The 19,796-nt window shown below is 35.8% G+C and overlaps 1 protein-coding gene across 22 annotated transcripts in view; it reads left to right on the top strand.

Moving 5' to 3' along the window:
* Positions 1–19,796, top strand: part of PDE1A (phosphodiesterase 1A) — a 576,757-nt gene that overhangs the window by 288,079 nt on the left and 268,882 nt on the right. For 5 of the 22 annotated variants that reach the window (NM_001363871.4, NM_001258313.3, XM_011511325.4 and 2 more), the window contains exon 1: positions 1,683–2,141. The exons of the other annotated variants lie outside the window; for them this stretch is intronic. In NM_001363871.4, coding sequence (NP_001350800.1) covers positions 2,089–2,141 — 53 coding nt within the window. In that variant the 5' untranslated portion in view covers positions 1,683–2,088. Of the gene's footprint in view, positions 1–1,682; positions 2,142–19,796 lie in introns of those variants that run through there. 22 annotated transcript variants of the gene reach the window in all.

The following is a 19,796-nucleotide window of genomic DNA, read 5'->3' as shown; positions in this document are numbered from 1 at the left end:
ACAAACGCAAAATCCCTCCCAGAAGACCTGTACAATGTGTTATTTCTTATGTGCTTTCCTAAATACAAAGAAAGCCAAAGCATATGGTAATAATAAAGCATCTGCTTCAAAGATCTGTATCTAAGTTTGTTTATACATGGTCAGTATATTTAACTGCTGTATAGCACACATGTGAATTTATCATTGGTACTTATTGATCATAAAGAGAACAGTGACATAGATGTCACTACATAACTATGTAATATCTATATAAATATGTTATACATAATATAAAATCATCTTTTTATTTATAGCTTCCTTATTTATTTATAACAGTACATAATAAGTGTGTAGTTTTTGAAGTATCAGGCATCATAACTTCTATGGCAGTTTCTTTGCAAGAAGCAGGCGAATCAGATTTAGAAATAACATGATAGTACCATTAAAGCTGGAAAGAAATATAGAATTCAATTAATATTATAATTTCATTTTACAAACAAGAAAATGGTCTCAGACAGGTCAAGAAATTTGCCCACAGTGGCCCGGCATATTTGCAATAGAACTAGGACTAGAACCCATTTATTTTATTTTTAGTTCAATGCTCTCATAATGATTACATTTCCTAGTTTGGATTAGAACGGCTCGATAAAATCCATGATTCCCTTATAACTCTCTTCTCCTTCCTTATCTCTCCTCAGGGAGGAAAATAAAAAGGTGATCTTTCTCCCTGGAAGTATTTGGAGAGTGCCAATAACTACAGATAGTATCCTCCTTTGTGACATTTGATCTTTATTTTTATGGATCATTCAACTAAAGGCATGCACGTTACTCATTTTTCCCTTTTTATTACATGTATATATTAAAAACATTCTAATCATGCTTTGAAATGATTTAGTTTATTACAAATCTCTGACCTGGAATCTTATGACATTATTGACTGAATAGGAACTTTGTTAGTGATTCAGATACAGGAAGGTCTCCAAAATAAGTTACATTAAAATACGAGCATTCCCTTTATCTGGAGCTAGAATAAGAGTTCCCGCAGTGTAAATCTGTCTTCTAAAAGAAAACAATTTTTAATATCATTTATTTTCAGCTGTTCACAAATTCTTTTATACCTTCTTTTCTTTCCTTTTACTTTTATAAATCCAAATTTCATCACATAATATATAAACCATAGGCTCCCAGGCACTTTGGAGGGGCTTTTTGTTAAAAAAAAGCATGTGGATGTGTGTGTGTGTTTCCATCTCTTTTTTGCAAGAGATGTTTCCTCTTAGTTGGAAACCACATTTGGGTACAGACATCTGGGTATAATGTCACCAGTAGAAATTAGCAATTTTTGTTTTTCTAACTTTTGTAGCTCTGGTCAGCTTCGCATGGGCTTCTATCAGTTGATATGGCATCTTCAACTTCAGCCAAGAGGAGGTTATTAGATTATAAGTGCTAAAAATGATGAGTCGTCTCCACACTTCAGCCAGCATGAATACAAGCAAGATTGTAAAATAATTATAATCTGAAGCAGAGCCAGCCATGCAACCCGAGCCTATCTTTCTTCATTAATTTGTATACAGTTCTTATTTTAAGAGAACAAACTTTCAGAGGGTACTCACATGGGGCTGCTGAACCAGCTGTACAACTTTTATTTTGAAGAAAAAAAGTTGAGCCTCAGAACAGTCTGTTTTAAAGACAGGGAGGGACTTAGCCTTTCGGAGCTTGACCAGCATGTGGAAGGAGAGCTCTCATGGCTGCAATAACTTAGGGAGTTCCTACCTGGATGACACTGGGGTAGGAAGTTTTCTGTTTGTTTTGTTCTGTTTCGGAGGGTCCCGTGCACTTCTCTTGCCTGGATCAACGTGACTCTTGGTGGTTTTTGCACACCCTGCTCTGTGGGGGAGTGCCCCAACGTGCCTGTCTTATGTGGCCTCTATGGACACACTGCTCAGCTGGCAGAGAACAGGGAAGTTTTCTCCCAGCACCCAAAAAGAGAAAGAGGAAACTACTTTTTCTTTCTGGGCTCCTTGCAGCACAATAGATCAGGATAAGCTTCCACATTTCCTCTCTGGAGTTTCTGGAGTGGTTTCCAGGAAGAAGTTAAACCTTCACCTTTAAATGGATGACCATGTCACAATCAGGAAGAAACATCTCCAAAGACCCATCTTTAGGTAAGTAATGCTACATCGCAGGTGGCTCTAGGGCTGTCAGGAACAATAGTTTCTCCCTTCATCCTTAATTTGGGGATTCTGCCACTAAGCTACAGCAGAGCAATCAAGAGTGCTTAAAGTTTAACTTCAGGCATACTGAGGGAGCCTTTTTGTTTTCTGTTTTCTGAAACTTTGTGCACAAACTCTTATCAACTCCTGAAAATACATTTTACAAAATCTTAACTATTCAAACACATAAGTGACATAGTACTGGAAAAACTTTGGAAACGTTATGCAATCTCTAGCTGTTTCTGTAGGCTGTTGCACAGCCCTCTAAATAGGAAACGTTGTGCTTAGTTCTTTCAACTGATTACAGGCAAGGGCAGTGTTTCAGTGCTGTGAATACTACACCTTTCTGGAGTGAAGTGTCGGGAGATAAATTTGAACTTGATAGCTACTTTACTAGAGTGCACATTTTACAGCTCGCTCAGGAATATCAGACCAGCAGTTAAAGAAACAACAGGGTGATAGGAAAAATTTTACACTGTGGTGGAATCTGTGACCAGGCAAAATGTAGATACAGTATAATGGATTGAGCTAAAGTTTAATTTTGGAGGGAGGTACACCCTTTCTTTAAGAAAGCAGCTGTTTCTTCATTGACTCTTTAATTCTGGATTCTTTAGTTACCTATTATGTACTTTAGAATTTAAAATAAAAAATAATTTAAAAGTATCTAGAAATTGAACCCTATTTTTGCCCCTCAAAACAGAAGATTTTTAAGAAAGTCAGTTATATATCAGTTTTGTCTTTCCACAAAATAATATTCTAGATAAAGCAGAGATACTACATGTTAGCAATGTTAAGGTCAAGTTGCAACCACTGGTTTTTGTCTGGAATTAAATACAGGATGATAAAACGTATGAGCAAAATTTCTCTGTGGTTTCTACATAATGAATGAGTAGACCTCGAGGAATATAATTATATAAAATGTGGCCATTTTTACTGATTAAACATCATTACTGAATTATTAATAGCAACATTATACCTTTGTAATGCTTAAAACAAGATGTTAGCTTGAATCTGTTTTAAAGTCTTCCTTTGAACATAAATTATATTTAAATTCATATATATGGATTTAATATTACTATCCCCCTCTACTTAAATATGTTTTTGTGTCTTATGCAATGATGTTGGTAAATAACCAAAAATCTAAAATGACCCCCAAAATATATTCACCTACCATATTTCCTAAAAAGTTCTTCCAATTGTATGTAGTATCTATATTCTCCCAAGTGCACGTGCGACTTCAAAAAGGTATGATAGTTGCCCAGATGATTCTAAACTCAACACCAGTGAGGCACAACTCACAGAGGGCACCCACAGCAGTTTGGAAAGGCAAGGTTGTGTTGGATAAAATCAGATCCACCTAGCCATCATCTTTATTGTATTACCCCTTTGGAGAGCTGTGGGGATTGAAGCAGGTGGTTTTCACCACTGATTTATGCCAAATCCTCATTTCTTCCTAATTAATTAATTATATGCTTAGGTGCTATGGGGAAGGTGGATTGCAACTTAACTGCACTTCTGTGCTTATTTATGTAAAAAATAGAACTTTGTGGAAGCTGAGATTCTTTGCCCAGATAATTAGAATAAAATTTGTTAAATTCAAGTGATTTGCTTCATGATCCTGGTGCTCTCATACTTTCACCAGGGAGTTGTTACAAGTAGGTCTAGAAATGGGTCTTTGACTGATAACAGATTAAAGCTGTATGTGAGAGCAGGATTTATTGGTCATCTGGCACATTGACAGTTGGCATTGCTTTTACCAGGTTATGATTGTGATTAGGGAAAAGGGAGATGGAGAATATCTTAAAAGATTCAAATAACTAGGCTTAATTGCACAGAGAAAGTTTGGGGCTGATTTCCATAACACAGACTTCCCGATAGCTAGTTGTACTTTTAGGGAAGCTGGCAGTGGGTTAAGCTTGCTTTTGATGCATTGCTTCTTATCTCATGCCTCACTTCGTTTTCTTCGTCAGCCTCCTTTCTTAGGCACCTTGTTCTCTTAGGCTTTCCCTAGGCTGTCTGGCATCTCACATTGAGACATCTTTCTCAAGCCTGACTTTTCAGAGACCCATGTACTAGACCTTTCCTTCTCAGTATGTACTTGTAACTGCACCCCACTTCCTAGGGGCCTTGCACACTGGATCTCAATCCACTTGACAGGCAAATCTGTACCAGTGTGTTTTGTGTGCTAGTGGGGCCAGTTATAAGCTTAATGGACATTTTATGAAAATAGTATCTTGGCTGTTTAAAAGTAATTCATTTAAAATTTCAGTCATTAAGAAATATTTGGCCGGGTGCCGTGGCTCATGCCTGTAATCCCAGCACTTTGGGAGGCCAAGGTGAGTGGATCGCCTGAGTTCAGGAGTTTGAGACTACCCTGGGCAACATGGTGAAACCCTGTCTCTACTAAAATACAAAAAATTAGCCAGGTGTGGTGGTGTGCACCTGTAGTCCCAGCTACTTGGGAGGCTGAGGCATGAGAATCGCTTGAGCTCTGGAGGCGGAGGTCGCAGTGAGCTGAAATTGCGCCACTGCACTCCAGGTTGGGCTATAGAGTGAGACCCCATCAAAAAAAAAAAAAAAAAGGTTAATCCAGGATTTTTTTTTTTGAAATATTTGGCTCATTGACATAGTTTCAAATTTCTATATACAGGCTAATTTCCCCTATAATTGAAGCTCCAGCTTTAATTCTAGTCACCTGGCCTTCACTGATTGACTACAAGTGTCCACTTCTGAGTTCATGGTGCTTGAGAGTTCAGATATGGGGAGAAAAATACTTATGTGCCCTCACGTGACATATCATTGAGGATATACCTAGATAAATGTGCTACAGGCAGGCAATGGGTGCCATAAAGGAGGTGATAACATCCTGGGAGATTGAAATGGAAGAGACAGATTTCAGGAATGACTCATTCTAAACACCTAAGTGACCTGAAAGATATGAGAGCAAGAGCTTTTTTTCCAATTTAATTTTCAAGATTTAATTAAAATCAGTTTTTCATCAGCACAGTCATCCTAAGTTTCAGAAAGTAAAAGTCATCCATCAAGTGGAAAAAGTTACTGAGAGGTTTTGGAGTAGATGGTGAACGTTGAAATTTTGTAGCTGGCTACGATATTAGGAGGCTTGGGAGGAATCTTACGTATCATTTAGATCCTGCCTCTAAGAATGTCTGGGGCTCCTACAGTAAAGATTCCAAATCATTTCCTGTAGTTAGGTTATCAAATCTATTTTTTAAAAAATTTCCTTGGAAATTTTAGGTATATATTTTCGTATCATGAGGTTATCAAATCTATTTTTTAAAAAATTTCCTTGGAAATTTTAGGTATATATTTTCATATCATGTCAATGAGGGAAGGAAGAAAGGCTAAGTTTCTTTTATGGCCAAGGCAGGAGTTTATATTATCTCCTTTATGGCTATCATGTGGAAGTGTGGCATCAATGAGACTATCCAGCCCTGAGCATATGTGCATGGTGAGTGCCTTTTGGGCACGCTGTGATTCTGCCTGCACAGGCTCTTCCAGCTCAGACTGGTGTTGAGAAAACACGATGCTCCTTTTCCTCAGGAGAAATACTTTGAGTTTTATAATTTTCTGGAAAGAAAACACAATCACAAAACTATATTAATATATTTTCAATCAATAATACTAAGGTCCTCAGCATGTAACAAATTACTGTACATATATCTTTAAAATCCAAGATGTGAATCAACACTTCATATATGAGACCTCACATAGATACATTCCTTTAGGCTTTTGAAAACCTTTGTTTCTATATTCCCAGAGATCTTTATCTCTGGTAATTATAATAATTTGTCTCTTTATATGACTATATTCATTAATTTGTGTTTTAATATTAAATGATGTAACATATTCAAATGAAGGATCTTTATATAACTTTAGTAAAATAATTGTTGAAGACATTTCCACCTTATTGCATACTCATCTTGCTTAGTAAACTTTCTATATTCCCTTGTGATAAATCAACCTTAGACTATGAGGCCAAGAAAAATCTGTTTCTTCTAGTAAAATTGCACCAGTAAAAGTATTTTTCTGAATTTCACTGCCTCAAACCATTTAAGCCTGGGCTTTTGTTACAATTATTTTCTCTTACTTGATATTTTGTTTTATCAAATTCTATTATATGTGCATTTTCCCCATTTGTCTCTCCAAATTCTTTCCAGAAGTAGGCAGTGAAAAAATGAATTTAAAAAGTAAATTGAAATGATTCTTATATGTTAAACTTTAGTGTTCTTTGGAACTGACAACTTTTTGAAGCTCTTTCATGGTTCAGAAGTGATTAGGTCACTTTTGTGGTAATTTTCCATTAGAAATAAAACTAAAAAGCCACAAACAAAATCATGCAAATAGTTCCTTATTAGGCCTGTAATTGAGAACAAGTCTGTACATCCAGGATCGAAGACACTAAAGGCAGCCAGGTTTCAAGACTAGTGAACATCATATTGGGATCTTCACAGCATTCAGATCACGCTGTTTCTTCTCTTTACGTCTTCTCAGAAGCTTTATTTTCGCAAGTATCTGTTAGCAGAGGAGTTCTGAGTGTGTATTTGGCAGGCATATTTTCTTCATTTAATAATGGAGAAAGCAGTGGGATGAAATAGGAAAGCCTAGAAAAAGAAAAGCACATCCTAATTTTGTTTGTGGACCTAATGGGTATGGTTAATACCTATTGCTGTTAGTAACTTACTGATTTTTGAAATGTATTACCAAGATCAAAGGAAAACAAATAAACACATTTGAGTGTAAGGCAGATAATGTTTACCATGAAAGAAAATTTCAGACATTACAGTGCCTTGTTATTTTTCCAGTTGTGATAAAAGTAGCTCTAATTTTTAAGAGGTCATCACTAATAGATAAACTATGATTTGTTATACATTTTAATAGCAGGAGGTAAATTTAATGCCAGGCATTTATTCCTGCTGGTATTATTTCACCCACAGTCAGCACAACTTAAATTATCTCCAATAAACTAGCATCATAATTATCAGCAGCAGTAGCAAGTGTTGATATTAACACCAAGAGGGAAAATTCATAGAAAACTTGGTGTATTTTTAGGCAAGCTATATGCATGTAATCTTTTGGATAACTCCATGAGGCAGTATTAAATCTACAATTAATAATTTTGGGTATAGAGTCAGGAACAGGGTACGATTAAAATGTGGGGAGGTGTCTTCCACTCAGGAGCTACACAAATGTCGTTTTCTCAGCTAGAGCAGCTTGATGACATGTACATTTATCTTAGACATTGGTAAGATTTAGAAATGGCTTTTCAAAGATTTGGAATGATCAAAATAAGGAAAATTAAGATTATGCAGGTAAAACAATCTACTGGGATTGTTAGTGATTTTATGCCATCTGGAAAATTTTACATTTATAGTAGTCAGACTACTTCACATAGTGTTTAGGTAAAAAGCAATGAAAAGAAGAAACAGTCATACTGATGGATACTTGTTTAAAAGACGACCTGTAGGTATGTAGAGATGGAATAAATTTAAAGAAGTCTGCAGTATTTTTGAACCTAGTCTTCTCAGTTCTGTGACTGGACATAATGTAGTTTTGACAGTTAGTTCTCATGGGAAAGCTTCAGTTTATTTATGTATTTGATTACGGCCACTTGGACACAAGCTATAATTGAGGAAAATTCAACATTTCCTGAGTTGGAGCTGCTGGAAATGTACGGGGCAAGTTCCAGTGCATTTGAAGTAATAGATGATAATACTTCCAGATTTATTATCTTTGTAATATCCAAGCCAGCTGCACTGAAGTCTTACGTTTTGTTATGTAGAAGCATTAGTTCTGAGTCAAGTTGGTATCCACGTTTAGTGTTTTGGTGTCTCCAGCCTTTAGGATTTTAGGATATTATTTTTGAAGAGTTTTTACATTAAACCAAAACAGATATTTAAATATTAATTGTATATGTATTAACCAGCTGCTTATAGGCTTGAAAAGTTATGTGCTTTTATTATGAAAACCATCACTTCAGCTTTAAAATATTAATACTTAATTTGACTTTTTTAAGGATCAAAGAGCCTGGAACAAATTGATTAGAAACCAATGGTAATGAAAAACAGTAGGGCTGTATCTTTGTCATATAAAAGTGGCAGTTATGTCAGTTCCAACTGAGGTAGGAAAAGAAAATCCCCACCAGGTCAAGTCACTTTTAAGTTATATCATTAAATTAAATTTGGATGAAAATAGGGATATGTGATGATCTGGGCCCACCTGTTTGTTAGAGATCACTAACAGAGATGCCAAAGACATATCTATTCTAATAGTGATGTTTCTGTGAAAAAAACAAAACAAAACAGAAAACAGAAAAAAAGAGACTCTTGCTAATTTTTGGACCCATTAGGCATTTACTGCTCAGTCCAGCTGCATCCAATTATTATTTCTAACAGCACAGTGGCATTTTATCTGCACCTCTTCTGCTGTGCATCTCTCTCATTCTATTATACTTAAGTAATTAATTAGTATTAATTATATTATACTTCTATTATAATTATTATAATTCTATTATAATTAATTAAGTAAGGGTATCAGCTCCCCTACGAAACTATAAGATCCCTGAGGCTAGAATCAATACTGAATTCATCTTTGTATTTCTCATAACTTTTAGTAGAATGTATTTTATAAGTAAGAATTCACCCAAGTCTTCAACTTAAATACCTACAGGGACCACACTGGTATTGTAAATATGTGAAGTAGGATATGGTGGGAACGTAGTAGGTGCGAAACAAAAGGCATGTAGTTTGACATTTTAAAAAACACTAAAACACTAAACAGGATCTAGCTGCAGACTGCTAGCTGGTGCCCCTTGAAATGAATGAATGAATGATAGAATGAAAAGTTTGTTTTGTTAGGTCCACACAGTCGTCTTCTCTCTATTGTTGGGGTGAACAAATGGCCAGTAGAGCTTAGCTGAAAATTCTGGCAGTTACATCCAAGAGGTATACTAGGAGGATGAGTACTTGGTTCTTGTTTCTAATCCTTATTAAAGAATGAGAAAATCAAATTAGCCGGATGTGGTGGCACACGCCTGTAGTCCTAGCTACTCGGGAGGCTAAGGCAGGAGAATTGCTTGAATCCAGGAGGTGGGGGTTGCAGTGAGCCAAGATCGTGCCACTGCACTCCAGCCTGGGCGACAGAGTGAGACTCTATCTCAAAAAAAAAAAAAAAAAGAAAAGAAAAAAAGAATGAGAAAATCAATATACTCTACAGCATAACTGTACTGATAACTTGTATATAATTTTGTAGCATTAAAAGAATAGATGAAGTATATAATCCTTGAATGAATAAAATGCATTTGTGTTAGCACCAACTTGAATTATTCCAGTGTCAGGAAATTCATTGCCTATAGGCATTTCAAATTTGAACTTAACTTGTTAGAAAATACTTTCTTAAAATGAAATCTGTCTTCCTATCAGTACAATGTTTTTTTTTTTTTCTCTTTTAGTGGAACTGGAACAGGAAGGATTTAAACTTTCTCTTGCATAGTTTAGCTCTTTAAACATTGAAGACAATTGTATCAGCGATTGCAGTTTGTAAATCTTCCCAAAGCATAGTGGCTTAAAATGATCTGCGCCCGTGGGTCAGCTGAATGTTTCTGCTGATTTGTGCCAGGCTTGGTTGATATCAGTGGGTCTTTTCCATGCATCTGTGGCCAGATGGTGGGTTTTCTGTGGGCCGGCTTAAGAGGAAGAGGAAACTCACAAACTTTTTCAAGGTTGTGATTAAGTTTGATTGAGTTAAGTTGTTACTGTCCCATTTAAAAAACAATAAAAAAGCCACGTGGCCAAGCCCAGTGTTGGTGTGCGAGGGCATAACCAAAGGGTGTAGATATGAGGAAGCATTTGCATTTGGATCAGTTAATGCGATTATTCTGCTCTTAAAACGCTTATGCTTTTTTTGATTCTTCTTTCCCTTACTCCATCTGCAGTTCATTCCGCTGTTGAAGAAAAAGCACATAGTTTGATCTTCATTTCATGTTGTTAAGTGGTCTAAGTGACCAGTGAGGACAGGAAAAAAATATATATGAATGAAGCAGTGTAGTCCAGATGACTCTCATGTGACCCAAGGGTCAAACATGGTTCACCTGACTCCAGGGTTATAGCATGCCTGAGATTCCTGGTTTAAGAAGTTTTAAAAAGTTAAAAAGTAAAAACGTTTCACCTAATTGCCCTAAAACATGAGCTATTACACCCGTAATGACTGCCCACATTTTCCCAGTTCTTTTTCAATAATTGATTTTTACCAAGTGTCATGCTAGCCGACTTAATGAAATTAATTATTTTAATAGAAGCTGAACATAATTAATTACATAATTTTGGGCAATTCCATTCCAAATACACTAAAACTATGACAGGGAAAGGAGGCTTTGGAAATCGTAATAATAAAACAGAGCTTCCTTATGCATTTGAATCTAATTTGAGTTCTAGCTATAATGTGTATTCTCTTGGGACTTAAATTTATTATCTTAAAATTTTTTTATGGGATAGATTTATGATAACGTTTTCTATTTTGAACCCTCCTAAACACCACTATAATAGGTAAATATTTTTGTAATACCTGCAAATTATATAACGTTTATTTTGAAACAGTGATTCACAAAATGAATTTTTTTTTAAATTGACATTAGACTTGCAGTTTACAAAAACAAAAACAAAACACAACAAACTTCTGCATTTGTAACCAGAGATTTTGATTCGTTAACTCTGGGGGTAGAAAGGTTTGATGTATTCCTACAAGCTGTCTGATTCATTGCTAGATTTGGGACCCATTTCCTTGATGATATAATTTACACTAGGAATGGAAAGGCAAAATAATTTGTAAAACATTTTGATAAGATTAACATCATAATTGGAAATATAAGCTATTTTTTTCTTTCATTTTTCATGAAAAATCTCTGTTGGGTACAGTGGACTTCTGAATATGAAGAAGGATAAATGTCTCCTCTAAAAAATCTTCAATGCTTTTTTAGGATATAGAACAGAGACAAACTACCATGAACTTCAAAGCAACAGTTCTCAATATTGGCTGTGTCTTGCACTCACTGGGGAATTTTAAAAAATCCCAAAAATTAGGTGGTATTTCAGACCTACTATATCAAAATCTCTGGGTAAAACCCAGGAATCAGTGTTTTTCTTAAATTCCCTAAGCCACACTTGAAAACCACAGACCTAAAGAGAAGCACACATAAAGTACAGTGACAGAAGAAGGGAAAACACTTGCAGGTGAACACTGAAGGGTGAATAGGATTCTGACAGGCAACTGGAAGAAGGAAGGAACATTAGCAAAGTGGTATAACATCAGCTAAGGCGTGGGAATCTAAAAGTGCATAAAGTGTTTGGGAAAGTCTCAGGAATAGGGAGAATTCTTCATTGGCCAGCCAAGTGCTGAGCATCTGCATGCGAAGGGATGCGTGGCTCAGTTTGGTTTGGGCTAGAGAGTCCAGGGCCATACAGTGTGTGTCTATTGCGTGACTGTGTATTGTCACCCATGTGGCATGATGTTGAAACTGACAAATCCAATGAACTGAATCTTGAGCTCAGCATTTCCAAAATACTGTTTGGTCGTAGGTCACCATTCCCCTGAGATACTCTGAACAAAAGCATCAAATGAGTTTGGGAATTACTTCCAGTCACACTAATTTCCCTCTTAGAGATTTACAAAGCATATTAGAAGTTTTGTAGTAAAACTCGTTTACTCTAATATTTTCCTAAACAGTCTATTTATGTATAATGCTTATTAATATCCCCAGAAAGTAGTGTTCCAAAGAAACATATTTTAGTTTTCCTAAATTTCTCCAAAACATGCCTTCTTTATTTTTCTGAAATTCACTGTGCTTCAGCTAGTCTTTTCTCCTCCTTTAATTATTTCTTTTCTTATTTATGTTTTCTGGAAGATAGCCTGTCCTCAAGAAACTTCTCCATAGTTAACATTTTTCATCTCCTCTTAGAGAAGTCAGGCAAAAAAATGTTGCCTAGTTGAAGGAATAGTTAATGTTTTATTACATAACTGTGATGATGTGAGTTTAAAAAAAGGAAGAAGAAATATTTTGAAAAGATTGGGAGAGGATGAACGATGTCACATTATTGAAACAGCTGAGCGTAAATTAAGAAATAACAGATGGAAGTTATGTGTGGATTATCACACCCAGGTGTCACTGTACACCCATTTGGCAGCATTTTAACTTGCCTTTGTGTCTTTTCCCTTGCTTCATCCTGAAGAGATTTTTAAAAAATCATCGCCCTGAAATTCACACTTAGTGAGAAATAGACAGTTAAACATCTACGAATAATGCCATGTTGAATAATGATAATTTGTAGGTGTGTAGAATCCCATATTTAGTTTATATTTTTTAATTTTATACATCTGTTATACTATTTGCTTGCACATTTGCCCTGTAATGAAACCATATAGCTCCCCATTTCATAGATGAAGAAATTGAAGTTCAGATGGTCACAGGAAGTTAGAGAAAGAGACACGGGACACTGACATTAAGAACAGGCAGATTAAGTGTGGCTTGCCATTACAGATTTAGTTTTTATGACAAATATGTTAGGAGAACTTAGTGTGCATGCCAGGCCAGGCATATGGTTCTTCTTTGAGGTATAACCCATTCTCAGTAGCCAAGGAAGTGATTTGAATGTCCTTAAACATTGTTTTTAGCTACTTAGAGTTATTTAATACCCATGATTTCCATGCAAGTTTCCTTTTCTAGACATGGAGAGAGAAAAAAAGTTGAGATAAGTAAATTATATGTTTTCAGTGTCATACGATTTACTGTGATGACTGCACAAATATAGATTTAACATATCACATATGATACACTTACTAGAAAATTTAGAACATAAAGAACTGTCTCTAGAAGAAGTAAAGACAGGAGGGAAAAAATAAAGTTCAGGCAGTTGCTTTGAAAGTGTTTCTAAACAGAAGAGATTTGTTGCTATCATAATATAAATAACATTTTCCTAGACAGCAGAAAGATGTAGATCTTGAAGGATATGACTTCTAGGTTGTACAAGACTAGAACTGGATTTCATGATTTCATTAATAGAAATGATTAAAATATAATTTGACAGCCATCCTATTAATCTATATTTTCAGACATTGTTTTCCATCAATTTCCTAGTATCCAAAATGCTAAAAATTCATTGTTTTATTTTAATGTGTTTGAGACCATTCTTGGGTGCTATGAAGCTTGCATGTTTTGTTATTTTAAAATATTTTACTTATTGTGATTTTCTGAAACATACCAAGAATTTATTTTCTGAAGAGAAAACATATTCCACAGTTGGCTAGGCAAACAACACAAAGCCCTCAGAAGGCTATTTTCTCTCTTTTAGGAATAAAATATTTAGAAAGTCTTTATTGAAGGCAATATATTTTATGTGGTACAGAGTGGTAAAGACAGAATTTTTTTTAAAATGCTTCTATCTGTAGGGTAGAACCATTATTTCATGATGTTTACTTCAATAATAATCTATCCCAAATTGGTGCTTACTTAAAAAATGGAAAATACTTTCCGACTCCAGTCTAAGGAGCTGAACAGTTGTACCAAATGACCACTGAGCTAAACATTATGTAAAATTTCTTTTCAATTATTCTGTACCAGTTTTTAGACAAATTGATGTAGAATTTGAGCTGCTAAAGTTGAAAAATTTTGATCCGTGTGTTTAATCTGGATAATTTGTTCTGCTTTATCCTTCTTCCTGCCTACCAACACATCATTTCCCACTCTCTCTACTAGCTCAGTTGGAATTTAGCTCACTCATCCATTTAATGGAAGCAATGTCAACACTGAGCTAATGAAGGACCTTCGCTTGAATCTTTTTTTTTCTTCATTTAGATGTCTAGATAACAATTTGATGCTGCCCCTTCCCACTGCCCTCTCTTTTCTTTCATCCTTTCTCCCTTGACAGAAACCAGAATGCCTAATATTTTCTATGTGAGAACAACTTGCTGCATATCCAGAAAACAAGTGTTTATGCCAGTTACTATGCTATCCTGAGGAGTTCTACCTACCTCTGTAAACAAACATTAGGACATTGAAGGTCACCTTAGATCTGTGAGTTTATATCTGAGCAGATAGTGGCCTTAGGACTCCTAGGTAGATGTTGTTTCTGGGTTTTCCCTTAAAGAATGAGACCCCTGGGGGGGTCTGGAATTCCACATTTAAGACTCAGACTAGAATGCTTAGGTGATATCTTCATAACTTATTGAGTTACTTGCAGATGTTCATTCTATTCATTCTAAAATAATTTCCTCTTATCTACTCCATCTAGTTACAATTCAGTCTCTTCCTTCCATTCATTTATCTTCAAAATGTAGACCAGGAATCGTCCTCTGCTTCCATGTCTTCCCATTAACTTCTTCTGTCCTTTGTGAATACACCTCTTCTCTTAATCTCAACTGTCTTCTGTTAGGTGATCCTCAAATTTACATGTGCAGATCTCAACTCTATTCTGAGTGCCGATTCACATTTCTTTACATTTCTTAAACATGTCCACCTGATGACCTCCTGATACCCAATACTACCAATACTAATCTCTCTGAAAGAGATTTATAATGCATGTATAATAACAATAATAATAAGTTCAGAAGCACATGCTTATCTCTCCAAACCTTGTCCCTTGTAACACTAGTGCACCATGAGATTTAATAGATTTATCACACACACATATGTGCACCCTAACATAAACACACAGACACACACAGACACAGGATTACAAGAGGATTTCCCAGAACTTTATAACGTTTATGTTAAGTGTAAATATTTAAGGCAAAGATATGATATTTAGTGTTTCCTAAATTGACAGTGGAACTTTCTTTGTGCCAAATATCTATAAACATATGAAAGTTTTCAGTAAATTGTTGTTTCAGAAATATTGCTTAGAGGAACAGGTTAGCCTAGCTGCTTTGAGCCTCTTTGTTGAAAACTATTAAGGACAGCATAAAACACTTCCCTGTACTTTTAATCCTCTTGTCATTTAGATTTCAAATGTCTGTTATTTTTCATGCTTCTCTACTTCTTATCATTCTTAACAAAACAATTATCAAGTCCTTTCATTTATGTCCTTAGAACATTTCTTTCTCTACTCTTTTCTTTGTGCTTCTCCACTTCAAAGCCCTCTAGCCTCCCATTTAAAATTTAATGATATTTAAAAATTAATCTTCTAGTCTTCAGCCCCTCTTCCACAGTTCCTTGGTTCTCAAGTTATCAGATTAGTCTTTAAACTTTGTCATGGTTATGTCACTCCTTTCATTTGTAATTTGCCATGGCCCTTTATTTTCTACCAAGTGAAACATGGATTCTTCTGAGATTGCAAGCACTTTATACCTACTCTCCATCTATTCCATCTCTTTCCTCCTTTCACAACTCTTATGCTACGGTCATTCTGGGTGACTTATTGCTCCTAGGACCTGTCTTACGCTTCCCTTCCTAAGCCTTTGTCTACTCTGCTTTGTCTGCTTTTATGCTTCTCTCTCTTTTGTCTGAACTGGTCTCTGTCCTCGTCCATGCTTCAAGTCCTAATTCAAATGCCACTGTCTTTATGAAGGGCTCCCTGATTGTTCCAACCAAAATAAGCTTTTATTCCTTTGAACTTGCATGGCAGTAGTACTTTATTTGTAGCTCTGAATTTCTGAGTATATTTCTCAGTAATTTGTGTCATTGTTTAATGCATGTCCTATTTCCCCTTCTTAGTGTAAACTTGATGGCTAAGACCCTGTCATATCCATAGAATTAGAGAATAATCAAGTTAGAAAAACCTTGTATCTAGTGTAACTGTCTTATTTCATAGATAAATGAAAAACTCTAAGACATTAAGTATTTTGACTAAGTCCTCACAGCTAGTTAGTGGTAGAGTCAGGACTAGAACACACATCAACTCTCAAGCCCGTGCTGTTTCTAGTCTAATTTATTTGTGCCTCTTGTTCTTATAGCCCATGGCAGTAATAACCATTGAGCATCCACTACATGCCAGGGATCTTACCTACATTATATCTAATTATAACAGTAATACTGAAGTATGGGCATTAGTATCCCCATATTATGGATAAAGAAACTGAATTTCAGTGAGCTTAAATAACTTTGCTGGGTAGAAGAATTTGGAGTCAAAGCGAGGTCCACTTGATTTCAGCAACTATGCTCTAGAGTCAGATATTGAATGAATAAACAGAACTGTCTACTGTTTAGGGTGGGATCTTGGAGTAGTCATTTCTGGAAACTAAAAATTTGGATAGCTGTCTAAGAAACAAATCTCAGCCTTCAAAATGATTATATTTAGTTGTCAGGGAAGTGCAAATTGAAACCACAGTGCAATACATTTATATGCTTTCTGAAATGGCTAAATATAGAAGTCAAAAATTTACCTAGGTTGGTGAGAGTTTAAAGCAGAATTTCTCGACTCCAACACTTAACATTTTGGAATAGATAATCTTTTTTTTTTTTTTTTCGAGATGGAGTCTCACTCCATTGCCCAGGCTGGAGTGCAATGGTGCGGTGTTGGCTCACTGCAATCTCTGCCTCCCAGGTTCAAGCAATTCTCCTGCCTCAGCCTCCCGAGTAGCTGGGATTACAGGCACATGCCACCACACCTGGCTAATTTTTGTATTTTTAGTAGAGACGGGGTTTCACTATGTTGGCCAGGCTGGTCTTGAACTCCTGACCTGTGATCTGCTCACCTCAGTCTCCCAAAGTGCTGGGATTACAGGCGTGTTGTTGGGGCCATTTTGTTCATTGTAAGATGTTGAGCAACATCACTGGTCTCTACCCACAAGATTCCAGTAGCATCCTTTTAGTTGTAAAGACCAAAAGTGTCCCCAGGCATTGCCAAATGTTCCTGGACATTTGTGAAATTATGACCAATTGAGAACCATTGATTTAGAGCAATTGGAACTCTCATACATGGCCGATGGGACTGAAAGGAGGTACAACTTGAAAAACTGTTTGTAGTATCTACTAAAGGTGAACATAGGTATATCCAGAAATTCCAAGCCAAACAGAAGTAAATACATACCCCAATTGTCATCAAAGACCTGTACAAGCATGTTCTTAGAGGCACTATTCATAATAACCTCAAACAAAAATACCACCCAAATGTTCATCAACAGTAGAATAGGTAAGTAAATTGTGTGGAATGCTATACAGCAGTGAGAAAAGAGGAACCAAAAATACATGCAACAGTGTGTGCAAATATCGCAAACACAATTTTGAATGGAAGGAGGCAGACAAAAAATATATTGTGTGATTCCATTTTTTTAGGTTTCAGCAACAGACAACACTAATATAGTAAAAAGTGAAAGATTTATATAAGCTGAAGAAAAAACAGAGTATGCAACACTAATGTAGGACAGTGGTTATCCTTGGAACCACTTAAAGTGAACATGAAAGGGTCTTCTAGGGTGTTGGCAACGAACATTCTGTTTCTTTGATCTGGCTTCTACTTACATGGATGTGTTTCATTTATGAAAATTATTATTTGTGTAGTTTTCAGTATGAATGTTACACCTTAGTAAAAAGTTAGGGAAAAAACTGTAGCAGATTCTATTTGGGAGAAGACACAAACTTCCCAAATTAACCAATTACAAATGAAGCTCCAGGGAAAACCTGATGGTGATATTAGAGTGACATTGAGGAGACACTGTGTAAATGGCCTTAGTGTGGCATGGATAGGCACAAAGGGAATGGATGGTACTTCTTTTCTGTGTCTTGTCAGTGGAAATCTGTCAAAAAATAACAACTGTGAAGAACAATTAAAGCTTGATGGGAAGACATTAATTTTTCAGTCCTTTATGTTTACCCAGATATCTTCCAAGTTTTATTATTCTACATTGCTAATGAAAGTAATTATATTATCTTGATGAGGTTGAGTTTGAGACAGAAATTCTTTGCACAGAATGACACTGATCATGTGAGCCCAGCTGTATTTTTCTTAACACAGCCATTTATTAATTGTACTACAATTCTTATATGTACATTAGAGAGACTCTCACATTAAATATTTAGATTGCTTATTATTGTTATAGTTGGAAAGAATTCATAAAATATGCATATTTACTTTAAAATAAGCCACACTCTGATAAATGTTTATTCATAGTTTCAAACTGTAGGTACATTTTCTTTCATTTATTTATTTATTTATTTTAAGACAAAGTCTTATTCTGTTACCCAGGCTGGGGTGCAGCAGCATGGTCATGACTCATTACAACCTTGACTTCCTAGGCTAAAGTGATCCTCGTGCCTCAGCCTCTCAAGTAGCTGGGACTGCAGGTGTGCACCACCATGCCTAGCTAATTAAAAAAAAAATTTTTCTTTTTTAAATTGTAGAAACAGGGTCCCACTATGTTGCCCAAACTGTTCTTGAACTCCTGGGCTTAAGTGATCCTCTCGCCTTAGCCTCCCAAAGTGCTGGGATTACAAGCATAAGCCACCATGTCTGGCCTGTGGATGCATTTTAAAACGGTAAATTAACTGAACTGTTTATTATACAATTTTTTGAAAATTTTTTGTACGTTTATTTCCAAAAAGTATGCATTTATCTGAAGATGGAAAAAAGCAGTAAAACACATTTGATTTTGAGTTCTTTATATTAAAATTATTATCCTTACTATTGATTATGACTTGGCTATATAAACTATGTGATATAAATGTCTTTATCATGAAAGAAGAAACATCACATTTAATTTATATTAATATTTTTTACTAATAGACCATATGGTACATATAATTGTAATGTTCCTGACCACTGCACTTGAATGAGATCAATGAGACTGGAGGTTCATCTATAAAAAGACATTTTGGCTTCCCTTATGCCTATGGTATACCCAGTGACCCTCCCATTCATTCAATTGCTATGAATGGAAGAGTAAGCAAACAGGCACCCACAGGCCCATCAGGAAGTAAGAATGTGGTTATTTCATAGCACCTGTAACTTGTTTGAAGGCTTTTTCATGGTTTTTAGCTATGCATTTACTTTTACAATCTGCTTAGTGTCTGCCCTCTCCACTAGAATGTATGTTGTGTATTCACAGAATGGAGACTGGGTTTGTACATATCGTATCTCCAATACTTTGCACAGTACCTCCTACCTAATAGGTGCTAGATAAATATTTGTTGAATAACAAATAACATTAAATTTCCTTTAAAGGCTTGGGCCTTATTTAATTGGTTATCTAATTAAGTTTGTATCCAATATTTGAGATTAATCATTGAAGTCATTATTCTGTTCAGGTAGAAATTTCTAGCAGGCTATTCACAGTCTAGGAGTGGAACTGAAGTGAGAGTTAGGAGACACTGAGAAAGGTGCTAATCGACGTGGAAAAAGGATTCGATTTTAAGGAAAAGCATGTAAAAGGAGAAGGGAGGAGGATTGAAAAATGAATCAAGGGAAATGCCCAGCATTATTAGGGGAGAGAGGAATTACAGAAGAATGAAGAAAGAATGGAGAGTTTCGGAGCAGGAAGTGACCAATAATGAAGCTGGAGCCCAAGGAGCTACTGTGGAGGCAGAAGACCTGTGGCTCTGGGCAGCCTGACTGAGTCCCTGCTCAGCCACTAGCTGGTAGAACAAATCACTTCACCATACCGATA

The sequence above is a fragment of the Homo sapiens genome, chromosome 2 (genome assembly GCF_000001405.40).
Source record: "Homo sapiens chromosome 2, GRCh38.p14 Primary Assembly".
NCBI lineage: Eukaryota > Metazoa > Chordata > Mammalia > Primates > Hominidae > Homo > Homo sapiens.
This window is presented reverse-complemented; position numbering and strand designations above follow the sequence as displayed.